We start from the raw sequence: 20777 nt of genomic DNA on the forward strand, positions 1-20777 counted from the left end.
CTATTGGATTAAAACTAATTTGAGCATGGTACAGGAAATTCCTGGAGGCAACTGATATTGAAGACATACCAGAAGTCCATTTTTTTCTTTTTCTTGGCAAAGTTTAGAACTTAGATTTATCAGTCCAATCAGTGCATGATGAATATTTTTGATCTTTTTCAATGAAGCACTTAGAAACACCAGCTTGGGGTTTGCAAGAAATTGAAGTGAATATTTAAATGAGAAGAATCATTAAGTTGCTTGGAAAGGCATTAGGGATACTTGTGTCAATAACCACATAGTTTTTAGAATTCATAATAGAAACATCTGTGAGGTTCCCAGAAAATCTGATTTTGGTAATCTGTATTTGAGCTGATTGGCAAACAGTGTCACAGTTGCTTTAAGGCCAAATTTGCCTACTGTTATGCAAAGCCAATTAGTGGCACCCCGGGTTACTTCCTCTGAAAGAAATTTTCCCAAGAGGTGAGAAAAGCTTTAAGCAGTTGCCATTCCTATGGAATCTAAAACAAAAACATTGAAAAACTTCAAGCAAGTCAAAGAAAGGAGAGGACATGTAGTAGTAGAAGCCTTGGGTAGTGAGTTGAGAACATGGCCATTAGAAGATCACCTGTCAATACCGAATAAATGATGATTTCTAAGCTTGTTAGAGGAAAAAAGCAAAACAAATTGTCATAGGTCTGGAAGCTGTTGAGATTATGGTAAATCCTCTAGTACTGCAAGTTCAGCATTTACACTTGGAGCATATAGCATGTTTTGATTTCCCTCACTCTTTTTAAAATTTGGATTCTGATTTCTTTTTTTGTCTCTTCTTTTTTTTTTCTTTTCTTTCCCTCCCTGCCTCCCTCCCGTTATTCTTCACTTCCTCACTCCCTTCAACCCTCTCTCCCTTTCTCCCTCCCTCTCTCCAGTTTCTTTTTAATAACTGCTATCTCCTGTTGAGTATGCTCAGCTGCTTCTATTTGACTTGAATTTCACAAACAGTGGCTAAACTTAGTGATTGTGTTGGTTGATAATCTTTTAAAGATGACGTTTTGCTCTAAAGCTGCTGAAACAGTCTCTTGAATTGACTCTAGTAAGTGTTGACAACCACCCCTGAGGTGAACTCTTGAGATGTTGTTGTCCAAGTTGCTCATCAGGGGTTTGTTTTCATTGGATTCCGAATAGGGAAGTTGTTTTGCCATCTTTTTCATCCTTTAGATTATGTATGGCTGAAGCTTAGTCCATTGGGGAATTGGTGTGAATCTGGGAAAGCTTACAAGCTCCTAAATAGTTGCCATTCATGAGTAAAGGAAGGAGGAACTGAATACAGGGACAATGTATGATATGTCAGAATAGTGTTTTTCTATGGTTTTCTTTTAAACTTTGAAGGCTCTCCATACTCTGAAAGAGAATGTGTGGGTAATCTAAAGAGAATAAAACTGTTTGGGGAAAATATTATTTGAAGATACTTTTCAGTGTAGATGTGGCCTGTGATGTTGCATTTCTTATATTCAACAAGGCAGAGCCAAATTGGTTGTGGATTTATTTTTGTTTATATCTTTTATCAAATGCCAAATGAAGTGGACGTTGTTTGGATAATTCAAAACTCCATTATATAAATTTTCTATATAGTCTTTAGGTTTTTCAGAGGGTGTTAAGGAGAATATGGGCCAGGGACCTGGATATTTCACAGGTTGTGGTAACCAATAAAAGAAAGAAAGCAGTTCTTTGCCATGGTGAAACAAACATGAAATGACATTCATTTATCTGACCATTCATTAGTCTTTTATTGGGCATGTATTTTGTGCCCAAAAGTTTCAATATAAGTAAAAGTAAAACAAAGTGCTTTGGGAATATAACATAAAACCATTGTTTTTAACTACAGAGATCGAGGAATATTTTAACATTTAATTGGTCTTGAATAAAAAAATCAGACTAATATGAGCTAATGTCTAAGGAAAAGATTATCATGTAATGGGAAAGCATAGATAAAGACATTAAGACTTCTTGGAATTGTGGATGGCTCTGTTTGGATTTGTTCGTTTTGTTTTTGGTAGAGGAGAGGTATGTTGAGTAGAATAAAAGTATATACTGGGGCTGAATCTGGGTAATGGAATATCATAAGGAATTAGAATTTCTGTGAAAAAATATGGAAGCTTTGAATAAATGAATCCCAAGCTTTGGTGTAAAACAACAACAGCAACAAAACAGCATTTTGTTTGTTTGTTTGTTTTGGAGATGGCAGAAGCTTGTAGAAGAAAACAAAGCTTACTATGAAAATAACTATTAGCAATTTTCCCAGATAATCAATAAACAAAATTATACTCTAACCACAATATGCTGGAACTGACTGTAAATGACTTGTGAAAGCCAATTGTGTGTATCTCTGCTTAAATCTAAGTTTAATAACATCACGTTAGTAGCTTGAAATAGGCCATGGTGGGAATATTTACACCACAGAAATCAGCAAATACTACAAATTAGGACTACTACTTGGACAGTTAGCAGTTCAACATTTACCGGCACACCACTGCTACATAATGTGAAACAGGTCTTGTTAGCAGAAAAGTCAACACTTGGAAAAGAGTATCATACAAAATCTCTTTAATAAAATAAAAAAAATTAAAGAAAATATTGAAAAATATAAAATTAGCAGATTAAAGGAAGAAGAGATTAAAAAAGCAAATAAAGAGAATACTAAGGCACACAAAGTGAAACAGGACTTAACAAATTTGACTGTCAAATTTAAACTTACTTGCAGAAACAGGGGCAAGTAAACAAGATTTTTGGCATTTAATGTGAGCCAAGCCTTCTTCATAACAATTGATATCCAGACTACAGACATTATGTTGGAAAACTACACATACAGCCCTGAACGAACTTCCCTTCAATGTTGTTAGAACTTTAGTTTGACATGCACTTTTCAACATATGTAGTATTTTCCTAACTCTACTGTGTGGTTCTAACTGTTTTCTCATTATGTTGTATATCTACAAACTTACCTTAATGATTAAACAAGAATATCAATAATCTGAATCATCCAACAAATTGTATTTATTATCCTCTTTCCAATTGACCGCTATGCCTTCTTCCATTTATTTTTAGGTTTATTTTTAATTACTTAGTTGGTGACTGCCATAGATGTTTAAATATATCATGTGCAAACTGTCCATGGTTAAGCATCATGGAAATTATGGGATACTATTTGGGTTTGATATGGAACAGAGGCATCTTCTCATAGTCTTCCTCCTTTCATTCATTGGCTGATGTATTGTTTAACCTACATTTCTCTAAGCCATAGTAGTTTTGGACAAAACTCAGTTAATAGAACAATAACTACAGTAATAATCTCGGAGTCTGACTCACTGGTCCCTCTTACCTTATTCAAGGAATTCCTGCAATATCTCATGTGAGCTGATGACCATGACTGTTCCCTTTACCTCTTGGTCTTCCTGTTACTCTCATAAGACTTATGTCACTGCTATTGACCAGAGATATTTCTTTATTGCTGTGTTGATATCACCCTATGTCATCCACATGTAGGTAGGATGCAGGCAGACGCAATCTGAATAATTTCAATAGTTTGTCAGTGTAGTAACTTGATTGTCAATACAATCACCCTGATTCTGATATTTCCCCCAATCTATTTGGTCAAGAATTTTAATGACTTCAAACAAATAAAATAGGTTATTTCAAGAATGACTCATGAATCACAATTTGGATAAAATTATAACCAGATTTACTTACACAATCAAATTAAACATACACAACTAATTGCAGACTTCTCTAAGACAATTATTCAAATGAGAGTTGAGTTTCCACCACCAATCCCTCCTCACTAGGGAATTGATAATAGTTCATTAGCATGGAGAGTCAGGTCTTCATTACAATCTGCTTCCCTTGTCCTCTTGGTCTTGATTATCATATTCTTCCAACGTTCCACAATATCTTTGACTCTGACAACTGAACCCTTTCTGCATTTTGTCTGAGTCGCTTTGCATGTTGCAGGGGGACTTTCAGCTTTCTTTGTAAGTAAATTTGTGGCCTTGTACCTAAGAATATAACATGTTGCTCTTATGCAAAATATATAATCTCACTTTGTTTCCTGGAAGGACAGTAATACAGTGGAAAGAACATGAACTCAAGATCTAGACTTTGTTTCCCTATTCTCTTACATCACAGTGCTTTTAATTTTTTTTGGATTTTTAATTTTTGCTACACTGTTTTTAATTGTAAAATATAACAATTATACAGAAAACTGCAAAACACAAATGTACAACTCAATGAAATATCACAGAGATCACATATGTAATGATCAACCAAGAGATAGAGTAATGTCAGCTCTATCTCTATGAAAAGCCCCCACATTCCTTTTCTAACTAGTATCCCCTTTCTCTTTTCTGAAAGTAACCAATTTTCTGATGTCTAAGACTATATTTTAATTTGTAGCTTTATATCCATGAAATCATACAATATATAATTCTTACTCATTTTGCTTAAGAGATTTATCCATGTTATTGCAGCTAGCTATATTTGATTCATTTCCATTCACATATAGTATTCCATTCTATAAAAATAACTTTTAGGGAAATGTCACAGTTTATTTACATATTCTGCTTTTGACAGATAAAGGGAATTTTTCCAGTTTGGGGGCTATTGTATCTAATGTTGTGATGGACATTTTATATGTGTTTCTTGGTGCACTTGTACCGACATTTTTGTTGAATATATTTCTACAAGTGGTATTGCTGAATCCTGAAATATGCATGTGTTTAAATGTGTTTTCCATAGTGGCAGTTACAATTTGTACTCCTACCAGTGGCATACAAGTGTTTACACAGTTCTGTATCCTTCTAATACTCCATATTGTCAGTCTTTTAAAATCTTAGCCATTCTGTTGGAGGTGTAGTAGTATATCACCATGGTTTTGATTTGCCCAGACGCTAATGCGGTAAAGCAGTTCTTCATCTATTTATTGATCATTTGTACATACTGTTTTTGAAGTATCTATTCAAAACTTTGGTCCACCTTCATATTGTCTTTTTCCTTACTGATTTAGCAATTCTTTATAGGTTCTAGTGTTAGTTTCATGTGTTGAAATATCTTGTCTTTTCACCGTCTTAAAGGTGACCTTTGATAATTGAAAGTAACTTTTTAATGTGGTATAATTTATCAATCTTTTCCTGTAGGATTGGTTCTTTTTGTAATCTGTTTAAGTATTCTTTCTGGATTCCCAAAGTCAAGAAAAGATTATTTTTATTCTTTCCTTCCTCTTTTCTGAAAGGTTTATTTTTTGACTTCAACATTTAGATGCATAGTTCATCTGGCATTGAATATGTATATGGCATAATATAGAGGTCAGGTTTGTTTGTTTCAATGTGAATATACAGTTGATCAAGTACCACTTATAGAAAAGACCATCCATTCAGCCAGGCACAGTGGCTCATGCCTGTAATCCCAGCACTTTGGGAGGCCAAGGTGGGCGAATCACGAGGTCAGAAGTTTGAGACCATCCTAACCAACATGGTGAAACCCCATCTCTACTAAAAATACAAAAATTAGCTGGGCGTGGTGGTGCGCACCTGTATTCCCAGCTACTCAGGAGGCTGAGGCTGGAGAATCGGTTGAACCCAGGAGGCAGAGGTTGCATTGAGCCGAGATAGCACCACTGCACTCCAGCCTGGGTGATAGTACAAGACTCCGTCTCAAAAAAAAAAAAAAAAAAAAAAAAAAAAAAAAAAAAAAGACCATCCATTCATTATGGCTCAGTAGTGTTAACTTTATCCATGTATACATGGAGAGTCTATTCTATTTCACAGGTTTCTCTCTTTTTATGTGATATTATCAGACTGTCTTAACTACTGTAGTTTTATAAAACGTCTTGATATCTGCTAGAACAAATCTTTCTGTTTGTTTTTCTTCTTCAAGACAGTCTTGGCTACATTTGGCCCCACTGCATTTTTATATAAAATTTTAGAATCAGCTTGGGTGGTTGTACAAATCACATATAAGTGGATATAAATGGATTTAGTTCACCAATTAAGACAAAGGTGATAACATTGTAATAACAGATGCTCTTTGAAGGGAAGCTTTCTGTAATATAATTATAAGGAAACTTTGAATGAAGGAAATGAAAAAAAATTTATCCACAAGAACTAACTGAAGGAAAATTCATGTGACCATATTAATATCAGATAAAAATGGACTTTAAGGCAAGAAAAAAGAGAAAATAGAGATCAAAAGAGGTGTTTCATACTGATAAAATATTCTATGAACCAAGAAGATAAAACAATTCAAACTTTTTGTGTCTAAGACAGCATGAAAACATATTAAGTATACATGGAAAGAACCAAATGAAAAAATTGGCAAAACCACAATCATCATAACAAATTTTAGTACACGTCTCTCAGTAACTGATAAACCATGAAGAAAATAAAAGTGAAGGGTGATGTGGAAGATTTAAACACTTGATAAACTTGCTATAATTTAAATATATAATGGAGTATATATCCCCTAACATGACAGAATATCATTCTTTTCAAGGACATTCTTAACATTTTTAAAAATAGACCGTATATGGAGCATAAAGCAAGTTTCAATAAATTTGAACTAATTGAATTCATACATAGTATAATTTCTTACCACAGTGAGGTAATTAGAAAATCGTATATATTTTGAGATTTCAAATATACTCTAATTCATGTGTCCAAAGAAATCACAGTGAAATACTAGAAAGTATTCTGAAATAAAGCATTATGAAAATATAACATGTGAAAACTTGTGTGATATATAAAGCTGAACTTAGAGAAACATATGCTTTTAAATGTATATATTAGAAAAGAAGAAAACTTAAAATTAATGTTTAAAAGCATATATCTCATTAGAGAATCAAAGCAGCAAATTAAATGCAAAGAAACCAAAGAAGATATAAATAAAATGATAAAATAGAAAACAAGCATATATGTAAGATTTTTAAAGTCAGAGGTTGATTCTTTGAAATAAGTAGTAAAATTGATCGAACTCTAGTAAGACTGACCAACAAAGAAAAAGCATGCATGCCCAGCACTGGGAAAGAAAAGGAGACTTCACTACAGATTTTAATGTTATTAAAAGGATGACAAGAAAATATTAAAATAAACTTTACGTAAACATTTCAAAAACTTATGAAATGGAATATATTAAATGGAAAAATTATAATAAAAATGCAACCTTGCAAGACTGAATAAAAATACAGCAAATGTGAGTGGTTCTTTAATTACTTACAAAACTGGGTTTTTAAAACTAAATTTACCAGGAGAAAACACAAAACCCATATAGCTTCACCAGGAAATTCTACCAGGAATTTAAGGAAAAAATAACACCAATCACAAATTGTTTTAGAATAAAGGAATGGATGGTAGGAAGAATCCATCACAAATAATTTTTTGAGGCCTATGTGATACCAATACCAAAAACTTAACAGAATATCACAAGAAAGGAATATTATAAGAGAATATTTCTCATAGTCATAGTAGTTAAAACCCTAAATAAAATATTAGCAGTTCATCAAGATCTTAAATGTTCATAAAAATTGGGTTTACTCTAGAAATATAACATATCAACTTTCCAAACTAATTCATTATAATTCATCACATTAAGACAATGAGGAAGAAATATATTTCAATAAATGTTTTAAAAGCAGCTGATAAACTACCCAATCATAATGAACAATTTTTACAAATAGAAATAAAAAATGTTTATTAACTTGATAAAGGATAGCTACAAAATAAATTCCACAGTATACATCAGGTTTAAAGGGGAAATATAGAAATTATTCTTTTAAATCGAAAACAAGACGAAGATACTCTTACTGCTTCATTTCAGCATTGTTCAGGGAATCCTAGACAGTGCGATATTGTAAAAAAAAGAAAAAGATATCAGTATTGGAGAAAAATAAATAAATCTTTCACTATTTACAGATGATTTGTAATTGAGTATGAAGAAAATCTATTAAAAGATGTTCATTTAAATTATGAATTAATATGTAAATTTAACAAAGTGGGTAGTTAATTAAAAATCAGTGAAAATTTAAAACTCACTTAAAAGGTTTAGTAAAAATTAATTATATATCTATATAACTGTCATAACTGTAGAAAATAAAAGTTTAAGAATACACTGGTTTTATGTAACCAGTTATCGTTAAGGGAAACTGGGTGAAGAGTACATGGGAATTTTGTACAATGTTTGAAACTTTCTATAAATATAAAATTACTTCAAAAAACATTTTAATAATGAGTTTATTTCACACACACATTTTTGTATCCCCACCATTTCCGTGTCTGACCACTACTATACTATATCCTATCATAACATTCCATACATACTTAAAACCAAGCAAAGGGTGGAGTTCCATCTTAGAAAACTGAACAGACATTTTGGACAACACATTCTTGGCAATGGAACCTGGACAACATTTATCAGATATGGTATGTAAATTTCTCACTCTGCATTACAAAAAGACAGGTGGATATCAAATGATAGAGAAATGAAATAAGACAGAAATTTTCTAACAAGCTGTTTAAACTATTAAGGAGACTTCTTGCTCCACTGCCAGAGATCTTGAATAGCCTCTTGGTCAGTCATTAGGAAGCAGTTCTTCACATAATTGATGAAATTGGTTTCCAATTTGGGAAGAGAACCACCTTTTTGTGTACTTGCTTGCATTTTTGCTTTAATGTTTTCTACAGAACTAGGTCCTTTTAGCGTTTTGGGAGGGTTTTTTTTCTGTTTTTTGAAGGATTCTTGACCTTTTGGGTCTTGATGTTGATGGTTTTGAGTCTTTTTCAGTCTGGTTTGATTTTTGTGCAATTTTGGCTGGAGTATCTTATATAGATTTCTTCACTGAGCTTTTTCTTCATCTTCCTCACCCTTGTCATCGTCATCTTCATTGTCATCATCATTATCTTCATTAGCAGCAAGTTTTTACTTTTTTTCTGTGGAACCTCACTACCACCTCTAGAGGCAGCTCGCTTTCCAGATATACTTAAGAGCTTTGCATCCTCCTCCTCTTCATCTTCTCACTGTGCATCTTCCTCCACAGCTGTTAAGTGCTGCCCATTAATATGCACTGGCCCTGAACTATGCTTCAACCATAAGACCATAGGTGGTGGTATTTCAAAGCCCACAAAGGAAACTGTTGGCTGTACAGACATTTTCAAAGTTGCCAGTGTTACTTTTATTTGGACTGCGTTTATATTTCATTGCTTCTGCTTCAACGATGTGCAATTCATCATAGGTACCAGCTCCTGAACTGGCCATTCTTAAAGAAAACTGGTGCTCATTTTCATCATCATCCACATTAAAGTGATAATATTTGTCAGCTTTAGTTCACAATTAAAAAGTTAATTTTGAGGCCTTAGAGGGCTCATGTCCACGTCCATCAAATCTTCTATGGGTTTGTGGCACCCACTGTGGTGGGAGAGAAGGCGAATGGAGATAAATGACTCCTACTCCAGAGAACAAACACACAGGACAGAATCACACCAGGATTGAAAATTTTTTAATTAAATTATAAATATACGTATTTTATATATATAGTGTAAATATATACACATACATAATTTACAAAAGCATTAAACAAACCAAATACCTAGAATAAATCTATCTGAAAATATGACCCTATTCATAAAATTGTAGAATATTTTTAGAGAAGTTAACAAACATCTAAATAAATTATAGAATACATTATGTTATGGATTAGAGGTCTAGGTATTGAGATGATCCCAGTTCTCCTCAAATTGGATTAAAGATTAATTTCAATGCCTTTCAAAATTTCATTCCATTTTATTGTCATTCTATTGCTTTTTCTTCCGCTCAATTGGAAGCAACCTTTTCTCCTCTAATTATTGGCATGGCCATTCTGCCTCTACTTGCCCTGGGTCTTTGTTTCTTTTGCATTTCCCTGCATTTCTGATCTATAGAAATATCTGCCTGCATGTCAGGAAACCTTGCCAATGCATAGGAGAAAATAATTGTGTGGAAATTATGCAAGAGCAGTTCACCTTAGAAAACAAAATGAGTTATCACTGCTGTTCTAATTCTTCATCTTAAAACCATATCCTGATTACAGCAGGAAACCAAGAGGAAGAACCCATTTTATTTTGTCTTGTTAGCTATGGTGAGCAGAATAAAGGCCACCTCTTCATGTTATTTTTTCGATTAAGTATTTCTCCATTTATTCAACATTTTTAAAATGTCTTTCATATACAGTCTCCATCTTCGTCTTTAAATGGCTCACAACAAAATAGAGAGTGGGATAAAAATGACTTTCTACTACATAATGTATTTAGTAAATAAGAATATTTGTGGGGGAAAGGGCCATAGGAGGGGAAGAAATTTGCTCTAGTGGAGAATTTGAGGAGCACGCAATATTTGCGGTGGTCCTTGAATGCTTGGTAAGGTTTTACCAATTCAAAGAAGAATGAAAAAAATAGAATTCAGAGGAAACAGAATAGATAAAAGTACAGAAATATTAAAATACTTGGCATATTTGGGAAACGTCAACACATAACAAAAACGCTAACAAGTCTATTTAATAGATCCTTTGCTTGATTGATGTATACATCCATCCTCACACACCTGTTACATTTGCAAAGGCTCTGTTTAGCTTCTTTTATGTTCTGTTCTAAGTCATGCAAATAAAAAAAATCAGTGAGCTGTTTTTCATAGCTCATCAGTACAGCGTAAATTTTAAAAATCTTACTCAACAGCTTCTCCAAGAATATCCCTCGCCTCTTTCTATAGATGAATCTTAGGCAACTAAAATGATTTTTGACGATTTAAATGATCTGATTCTAAAGAACCTGGAAATTACTTATAAGATGATAATGGCCACAATTTTATGGTGTTTTAAAATAGCTGCAGTACTTAGAATGTATATGGTATATGCAACTTAACAAACATCTGAATCATGCCAATACATTATCACAACTTTCTGAAAATGATGTAGAAAAATAAATTTCCCTGTCACTGAGCCTGAAAATCTGTGTAAAGAATTGCTATGAGTAATGCTTGTGATTAAGCTTTAGATACAATTAAGCTGGATGAGAGCTTTAAGTGTCAAGAGGTTGTGTTAAAATTATCTAGTGTATCTTATAACTCCATGATAATTACCATTATTTAACAGAATTGCTTGACAGAAATGGCATGACGGGTGTGTACTATTTCCTACATTTGCATCTGCTTCATCTTTCTGTAACTTTTGCATGCAAAAGTTGTCTTGTTTGTATAAATTACTCCTTATTTATCTTTTAATAATTTCCAGTAATGCTGATTAATCTCCATCACCAATGTTTTTGCTGTATCTAATCACCTAAATTAAATACATAGCAAAACTTTACCACATATTCTTATTTTCTGCTCCAAATTTATAAAAAATGAATATTTAATATTATTTTATTAGTTATTAAATTATGAATAATGACAACACTCATAAATATTTATTAAGTGGATGCTTCAATCAGATGTTGTTAGTGCCTATAATTGTGAGTGATTAAATAAATGTCTAGAAAAGACAATCCAGTTCTGTGGTCCCGCCATACAAGATTTTAATTTTATAAAAACAGACTCTAAATGCCACTTGCCTTCTTGCCAACGGAGAGAATATTATCCATTGCATACCTGCCAGAGAAAAAATAAAGAACCTACATTGAGAAATTTCTGAATTCAGCTCTGTCTGTATGTATACACTCAAAATGAAACAAATTGGGGCAATTTACTGAAGGTTAAATCCTCTAAATGACATTCAACTAAAACATGCAGGGAAATGGTTTGGGAGGTTTAAATGATCAATTTAATTGCCTTAATTCTCTGAATTGCTTTTTAAAATAGACACAACCCTTTTGCATCTAACTGAAGATTCTAAATTGGGGGTTTAGGGGTGTTTGTATTTTACTCTCAATACTCTGAATCACGTATGCTTTCTGTATAACCTGAGTCTTTAAAATAGCCCAGACCTCAGTGTGCAAGAGACCAGAAGTTAGATGTTTTACATATATGATCTGCCTATAGCTTTCTTTCCAGGAGCCAGCACCTTTCAGTTTGTCAGGATTTTTACCCCAAAGTCACAGGGAAGCTTTTTGAAGAGCTAAATAAGCTGTCATCGCTTTGTGCTTTTGTTCTTAAATATTGGAACATAGAGTGTCATTTCAAGATATTTTATTAGTAAAATCTACCTGATTTCTATTAAAAATTATTTTCTCTAAGCTCCAAGAAAGGAGTGAAAAATTATTTATAAGCAAAGTAGCCCTCTGAACCTTGTCTAATGCATAAGAGTTTTCCAAGTAAGCTTCAGTTTATGATTCAGTAGTTCCTCTGAGTTAAGAGAGTGTTACTAGACTAACATATTCTTGAAGATACAATTTGAAATACCACATTTTAAAAAATGATTTTAACAAGTTTTAAGAGTTTATTTCAGAACCTTGTACTGCCACAGAGCGGTGGTGGTGATGTTTTTTTTTTTTTTTCCTCTCACCAAACTGTATTGCAAATAAACCTTTTGATGTTTAAAAGTTTTTCTTTGGCAGCTAAGAAAAACACTCTGGAAAGTTATAGTTAGTGAATTTACCCGTGTATAAATATCCCTGAGCTAGTCTGTTATCCTGTGGCATCTGGAATAAAGGTGCTATTGTTGTAGATTTCATGATTGAAGAATAGAATAATCAATTCAGAGGGACCCTGAGGGGAAGATTCACTCACATATGTGGTGGAAACTGGTAATCCCTGTGTTTTTTTAGGTTTTCCTACAGATGAAGAGACATAGATGAGTTCATGCTTTGATGCGTCTAGTGACATCGCTTCCCATTCGTGCCATATTATAGTTTGATCACCAGTTCTTATTTGAGATGATTAACCTTAATGTTTCTAGGAAAACTACTTTTTTGTTAATCCTTTTGTTACTATTACTTTATTTGCTTTTTGGGTCACAATAGCTGGACAACTATTTTATTTGCAAGGGCCCTAGCCATGCGCTTTCTGCTGCAACATGCCAAACTAATCACCACAGCATTCTGAGGGATGTGTTATCAGACTTAGGCCTAACAGATAGGCTCTGTAAATTATTTAAAGCTTCTCTTCATTTCTTGCAAAGCAATGCTTGCTGAGCTTCTCCATGAAAAATTAGTGTAATTCCAGAAGATTATGATAGATTTGCAAGGTAGGAGTTTGGCCTGTGCTTACACACAGACATCTGCATAGTTATGAATAAAGTAGAAGTTAAATGAAACTGTACAGTTATTTTACATTTGGTTATTTGAACCCTTTCTCTACTACTTTATTCAATGGCCTTTGAATAAAAGCAGCTGTGTCTCATGGCTTTCTATCGTGAAGTGTTCAAATGTATAAGGTGGTTGGATGTAAAAACACTGTGAAAGTATGGATAATAGAGTGCCCACTTTCTGTCTATTGCAACTTCCCTGAGGTTTTGTTTGCAGGGCCCAGCTGCATATACAGACATGATGGAATTTGGTTTGTCAGGAACCTACAAAAATTACACAAATAACTCAGATTTTTAATGAATAATGCACAGACATGCACCTGCTTCAGGGACTTCATAGATTAGTCTTGTGACCAATGGAAAAGCCCCTTGGAATTCAATTACATGGATACAAAACAGAAAATAAAACTGGCTACACTTCTAGAACTAATATCAGCAAAATGTTAACTAGTTCTCGGAGCAAGCTTTTCCTGAGGATTAGGTTGTTTCAGTTTGCTTTGCTTCTGTGAGACTTACTATAAAGTCATAATATTCTGCTCATACTATTATCTACTATTCTTGCAGCTGGAGCCACTTGCAGAAGATATTCTCCACCAAAGCCCGAATATGAATGCTGTTATTTCTTTACAGAAGATCATTGAAATTCAAAGTATGTCTTTAAAGTTCTCTTAAAAATTCTAAGCAGGTAAAACTAACTAAAATTATATTGAAAATTATAGTACAAAGAAACATTTATTTAGAGTTATCATAATTTGCACATGCGTTCTTAAGTATATATCTTAATGTGTTGCTCTTAATGCAGCAATCTTATCTTACACTGATGACAAAACGTAGAGACTCTAGATTTAGAATCTTGTTTTTCTCATGTATTTCAGGTATTTGGAGTTTTTACCATTATGATCACTAAGCATTTACCCAGAACCATGAAATAAATGCAGAAATTGTGATTTTGTAATCCAATCTTAATGAAGGGTAGTTATCTCCTAATGATGTTGGAATTCAGCAATCATTTACTGATTCATATGTGTCAAGAGAGGAAAAAAAAATTAATGAGAAAGCCTCTGTATGGGAAAATCCAACTTAACAAAGCAGGGTTAAGTCATAGACTTTTTTTATTATCCAACTCCCTTCACACACATACATACACATAAGCACACATGGGTGCACACACATGCTGAAATCAAGCACAAACTAACATGAAGATTAGCATGAAGAGGAAAACCAAAGGGCACTATTAGGTGTCCAGGAGGAACAGGAAAACCCTTAGGTTTGCTACTGTCTTGTAGAAGCATTTATTAAGTGCCACTTAAGAAGCCACTTGCCAGCTATCTCTTTGGGTCATTGCCTTTGCTTGTTCAGTAGCAATTTGGAGATATGGGTTGACTGGAGTTAAATTACCCATTTATTTGATACTGTGAATATTTACACATCAGGCCATATAGGAACTAAAAATAATTCTCCACTTCATCTCACTCATGCTGTGACTGAGGGCTATATGTACCCAATAAACATTTATTGACTACATGTCATAACTGAAATAAACTATGAATTTTGAAGACTTTTAGGGAATAGAAAAATAAACCTTCAAATGCTGGGGTGCACTATTCAAGTCTCTGATATAAGCCTAAAGTACAGGAACTGACAGAGACAAAGCAGCGAAGGCTGGAGGTGATTTCATAAGCTTAAGAAGAAAATCCTGTCATTGTCCTGTCTTTGTCTTGTTTCCATTGGGGCTAGATAAAGAGGGTCTATTACATGTCATTCTAGATTTCAAAGCAAGGAATCTTGTAGTGATCTTTGACAGCATTCTTCTCTTCATCCACATGCAATCCAATGTATGCTTTCAGGTCATTAATAGAATGAAAATATCTCAGTTTTTATACATATTATTATCTTTTTCTGAGCATTGTTTAGCCATTATATACACAGAGTGTTAAAATTGATTGTTCCTATGTATATTCTGAGCATATCACTTCAATAGGCATTTTTGAGTTCTTATTACATGTTGATCAATTACCAAGGCACAGAGGTTATGAAGAGGAATAAGACATAGTTTCTGCATCAAGGAGCTAACAGTCCAATGAGTGAGAGACAACCAAGTAAATAATTGCAATACAGTATTCACAGAGTACACTGAGGTCATAGACAAGGGGCGGTCTGTTTCTTCAGTCCCTTTCAACTGGGGGTGAGAGGGACTGGATAGTAAGGAAGGTTGCTTGACGGTGATATAGCCTGAGCTTGGTTCTTAAGGGCTGAACAGCATGTTGAATAACTGAAGAAAGAGTGAAAATGCTTTGAAAGGAACGACAGAAGTGAAGGACTCTATTTCCACATAGGTATAAAAAGGCGTAATTTCTGTACATCTTTAGAAACTCTACTGTTGCCTTTTATATTGGATCTAATTTCCTAGTAATGATTTTCCACTGCATAGTTTTTTCCTTTCACTACTGATGTTTTCAAGTGACCTCTACAGTCTGCTCTAGCCAAGCAAACCTGTTTGACTCTTGAAAAAGACTCAATCTACTATCAAAACTTGCTGTAGGAGTATCCTGCCACTAAGGATTGTCAATTCCACTCTTCTGCCCCAAAGTCTATTTTACACCACCCAACAGTGATCACTTGTCTGTGAAATCCATTTCCTTCTAAACTCTTAATGAGTACCCCACCCAGCTTGGAGCATTACTGATGATCCAATAATGCCATAATTTCTCAAGACCAATATGTGTTGGTTCAGCGGTATATTTATTTTCGATGTTTCTCTTAAAAATATCAAATATTTAAATGTCTGTTAGCTCTGGTTGCTAAATTAGAGGATAATCATCAGGAGGACAGGAATCATATCTTTTTGTCTCTGAATGTCCCTCCAGGAAGGGTTGACAGCAGGTGTGAGGTGCTTGGGAGCCTGGCCATTAAAAGCAGGCAGATTTGAGTAGGTAGGACTTGAATAACTCTTCAAGACCATAAACAACAAAGGCCATAAGCAACCAGAGCTCCTCCTTCTGAGTCAAGGATATATGGTGTAGTGGACACTGATTTTGGTATACCCAGAAACAATGCACTCTTCACATCTACTCAAAAGGAGTCTGGTTTTATTCATGAATCTTTGCCACCAGATACCGTGCAACTCAGGGGGAAGTTCAACTTAGCTCCAACTCCAGGGGAGCTGTTTTTAGTCTAAGGCAGTCAACCCACTTGACAGTGATTGGTTAAGAAATGGGTACGTGACTCAATTCAGGCCAATGAAAATCAGGACTAGCTTCATGGGCATTCAGCCTGCATGGTCACATAGGTCCTACACATAGAAGGGCCCCATCCTTAGTGTAAGGCTCTTGGTGTTGCTGCCTAAAATTCTTACTGCGTTTTAAAGAAGCAGCCCATATTTTCATTTGGTACCAGGCCCTATAAATTCTGTAGCCAGTCCTGATGAAAGTCAAGGTGATGGTGAGGTGAAAAAACGTTTACCAAGAAGGAATGATAGTAGCATCACCACAAGGACAACTTAAATGTCAGTTGAGAGGGCTCTGAATAGTGGGTTGAGGTTGTAAAAGGAAAGAAAACACAAGATCGGAAAGCGATCTCTCACCATTTGAGAAGTGGAGTGAAACTCGGTAGAGAGAAAGTGTTTCAGCACTGTGGCTTTGACCACCGTGTGGTGCATTTTTATGTGGTTATAACTATGTGTCTTAGGGGCCACTCTTCTATGCTAAAGGAAGAGAAAAGAGCCCTCTAATGTCCACAGAGCAATAAAATCGAGTGGGTATTTCAGAGTCTTAAACTTCATAATGGCTTGGGAAATTAAAATTATGGGCTCCCTGATTAGTAAACAGTGCTTGATTTCCTTACAAGATATGAAATCGCACTCTTGCTTCTCACTGTTTTATAACCAATGCTTCCATTTCACCTGCTCCTTTGGGACTCCAGGACCCTAATTGTGTTCCTCGTTTCCCCTTTGGCAGAGAAAGTGGTAGGGACAGGTTACTTATTTTGTGAGACCCAGTTCAAGATGAAACTGTGTGAACTCTTCCTTGTTAAAAAAATTAATAATTTCTGGAGGGTAACAGCAAAGCACTGAACCAAGCATGGGGTCTTTCTGAGAGTGGGGCGCTTCGCAACTGCACAGGTAACCCATTATGAAGCTGCCCCTGAAGGTAGTCCTTGTTCAACAGGAGCACTTCCTCTTCACATACGTCTCTGAGTGTCACACAAGTGCCTCCTTTCAACTTTAGGGGGTGTTCAGATTTCAGCCCACCTTCTAGCCCAGGTTCTGAAGGGTTCTTTTGTGCTGCAGTTTGCAACGACAGTATCAGAAAACTATGTTACTCTTGAGAAGCAGGCTTGTAGCATGTGGGAAACATTCAGGCAAGTCTCTAGATAGCCTTATCCCAAGGCACATGGCAAGGTGCTGACAGTTCTCCTGTGAATTTCTTTTTGAGAACTGAGTCCCCCAGCTGAGGGTATGCAGGTGCTGGAGGTGCGTTGGCTCCTTGCCTGGCCACATGTATGTGAATATTTTCCAACAGGATCATTTATGTTGTCCTGTCCTTGTTTATGTTGCTCATCTAGCTGAAGAGAAAAGGCCTTACAGGCCACAGAAGGGCAATGATTTATCCTGACAGGTGAAGACCCTTCCTGACAGGAGAGGGTCTGGTTCCATCTTAACATGATAGATGGCATGCAAGGGTCAACTATCTTTGAGATGACAAAATGGAAAAAAAGTTTCATGTTATTCCTTAAGAAATTAAAAAGAGAACTACCATATGATTCAGCCATCTCACTTTCTGAAGACTTATCAGAAAGAATTTAAATTAGAATCTCTAAGAGATGTTAGCACTCCCATGTACTTTGTGGCACTATTCACCATAGCCAAGAGATGGGAGCAACCTGAGTGTCCATCAGTGGATGAGTGGGCAAAGAAAATGTTGTATAGACATAAAGTAGAATATTATTCAGACCTACAAAAGGAAATTCTGCAATACGTGGCAACTTAGCACAATCTTTTGATGGCAGATATTATTTCTGCTGTGTTCCTGCTTGTTTTTAATTGCCGTATCTTTTGCACAGTCTCTGGCATGTATTAGGTGCTCTGCAAATGTGTGTTGAATGAATGAATCAGCTAGTCTGTCAATGTTTGCCACATTTTTCTTCTAAGCCTGCGTTGATTTTTGTAACTAACCTCACATATTTATACTCCTTGGCACACTCATGCAGAATGAGGGATTAAGAAGACCAAGCAAAATACATGAGAGTCCATTTCCTCTCCTTTCTTCACAACCCACAAGGATGAGTCATTTCTAAGTTAGGAAGAACATGGATTATTTTTGTGAGTTGCCATTTCCACGGGTAAGCTTGGGGTGACAATTCTCAGAGCTGGATCTAGCACTTGGCTAACTGGCTGTAATAATCAACAAGTGATGCCAGTAACGAGTCAGCCCAGAGTGAGATAAATAACTCTCATATGGATGTTTCCTTTCCTGAAACCCACCCTAGTGATTTACAGCATCCATGCACCGTTGAATTCGTTCACTTTTCTGCATGGCATGGTGGGCGCCAGAGTTCTAAAACACCACTCTTTATACCAGTGCTGGCCCATTATAACTTTTTCACAGATTTGGGAGGGGAGGAACCATGAAGTGAGTTTCCCATAAAAGTAAATTTATTTAGTTTGAAAGACTATCACTTTAAGTTCTAAAAACAAATAATGAATGATATTGATATTAATCTGTGAAACCCCAAAACATGAGAACAAGTATAGAGCCATAGTTTCCTTTTATTTATTTAAATTTCTTAGTGAGAAGAGTATTCCTTTTAAGTGTCAACCAATTTTGTAGACTTCTTGAATGATAATAATCATAACCATAGCATCTTTTGTTTTGTGGATCAAGGAAACATATACATGCACAAGGATTTGAGGATTCTTTCACAATTTTGCTGCAACCCTGCAGTGGTTTGCCTCTGATAAGTTGAAAAACACCAGTGTAGGAGATTTTAAAATGATACGAATTCCATCGTAATCTTCTCCTCCACTCCACAACCATGTGACAATGAGCAAGCCACTTGTTTGAGGAATTTCACCAGGAATGACATGGCACATCACTAGAATTGCTTTTCCACGTTGGCGCTACTGTGACAACAAAGTGGCAAATAGGCAGAAGAATCCTAAAAGAACAGTAAGAATTTTCTCCCTGTAGCCCCACTTTCACTTTTCCCCACTCTAGGGATTATCCCTTACTTAGTGAATTGAGGTCTTTTTAGAATTTCTTATTATGCCAACCAAGGCAAAATGGTGGCACAGGCAAGAATGAGGAATGGACAGTGCCTGCAATTTCACCATATGTTCTTGTCAAATGTGTTTTACATAAATACAGGAGCAATTTCCATGTTTCTTGTATATAAAATTTGTGAGTATAGCTAATCCTCTGTTGTTTTAAACACACACACACACACACACACACACACACACAGAGTATTATTTAGGGCAATGAGAAGTGAATTTATAATCCTCAGAATTTATCCAACTTTTGAGGACAATTTGAAAATGGACATGATTTCCTTTGTTGCAGGGGAATGTTACAAGTAACTATGTAATTGACTAAAGCATAATCAGTTATCTCCATGGTTCCATACCAGCAATGCACAGAGCACACTCTCACACATTCTAGAGTAATAAGAATGAAATCAGATTTTCCCTGGGAGATGAGAGGCAAGTATATTTGACACCTACTCCTTGTCAGAACTGTGCTTGATTTATGTTTTGTATATGTGTTTTTGAGTGAGTGATGTCTTGCTTCTCCTCCTCTTCCTCTATGTTATTGTTATTCTTTACTCTTATTCGTCCTCCTCTTCCTATTATTATTACTAATATTATTATATCTGTAGTTCTGGGAACTGGTCTTAGAAGTAACAACTGATACTAGAAAAGAACAAAGGAATGCTGATTTTGTTGATTTTACTTTTTATTATATTTCCAATGGGAGATAACTCATAGGTAAAATAAAATACTAAATAAACACTGTCAATGTATTAGAATGAATAATCAAAATATGTGGTACCTAATTTTCTTGGCGATTAAGAGAACTGGTTATGAATTGAAGGAAAAGGCTATAAAAGTAAAATAAGACCGTATTTTATGTAATGTTACCGTAAAGATAACAACCATTGTCTTCTTTTATCTGAAATACCATCCTCTCCCATCATTATAATATCCTCTACCGACCCCAGTACAAGGAGAAGGGGCATTTACATCAGATAATCCAGGAGAAAATCCAAATTGTTTCTAAGCTGAAAGGAATTTGTATACATCTCTTGTTGGGGGGTGGGGGAAGTTATCCAATGTTTTGACCTCATGGGGCTATGTACACAACTAAAAGCGTTGTTTCTCCAGATTGCAACGTGTGCTGCATAAATTATCTCACAGACTTTACTAGCTTCTTGACTGCACACCAAAATTCTAACTCAAACTCAGTTTTTCCTCTTTCTTTTTGTCCCCATCTACTTCATTTTGATTTTCTGCCTTTTTTTCGTATGTCTCTTCTCCTCTCTCTTCCAT

General features: G+C 35.1%; 1 protein-coding gene and 1 pseudogene across 6 annotated transcripts in view; one reads left to right on the forward strand and one right to left on the reverse strand.

Moving 5' to 3' along the window:
• Positions 1-20777, forward strand: part of HDAC9 (histone deacetylase 9) — a 915592-nt gene that overhangs the window by 853526 nt on the left and 41289 nt on the right. For 5 of the 6 annotated variants that reach the window (NM_001321868.2, NM_178425.4, NM_001321877.2 and 2 more), the window contains one exon: positions 13796-13880. In NM_001321868.2, coding sequence (NP_001308797.1) covers positions 13796-13880 — 85 coding nt within the window. Of the gene's footprint in view, positions 1-13795; positions 13967-20777 lie in introns of those variants that run through there. The other variant, NM_058176.2, reaches the window with a different exon arrangement.
• On the reverse strand, positions 8241-9426 carry NPM1P13 (nucleophosmin 1 pseudogene 13; annotated as a pseudogene).

This window comes from Homo sapiens, chromosome 7 (genome assembly GCF_000001405.40).
Source record: "Homo sapiens chromosome 7, GRCh38.p14 Primary Assembly".
Classification (NCBI taxonomy): Eukaryota; Metazoa; Chordata; class Mammalia; order Primates; family Hominidae; genus Homo; species Homo sapiens.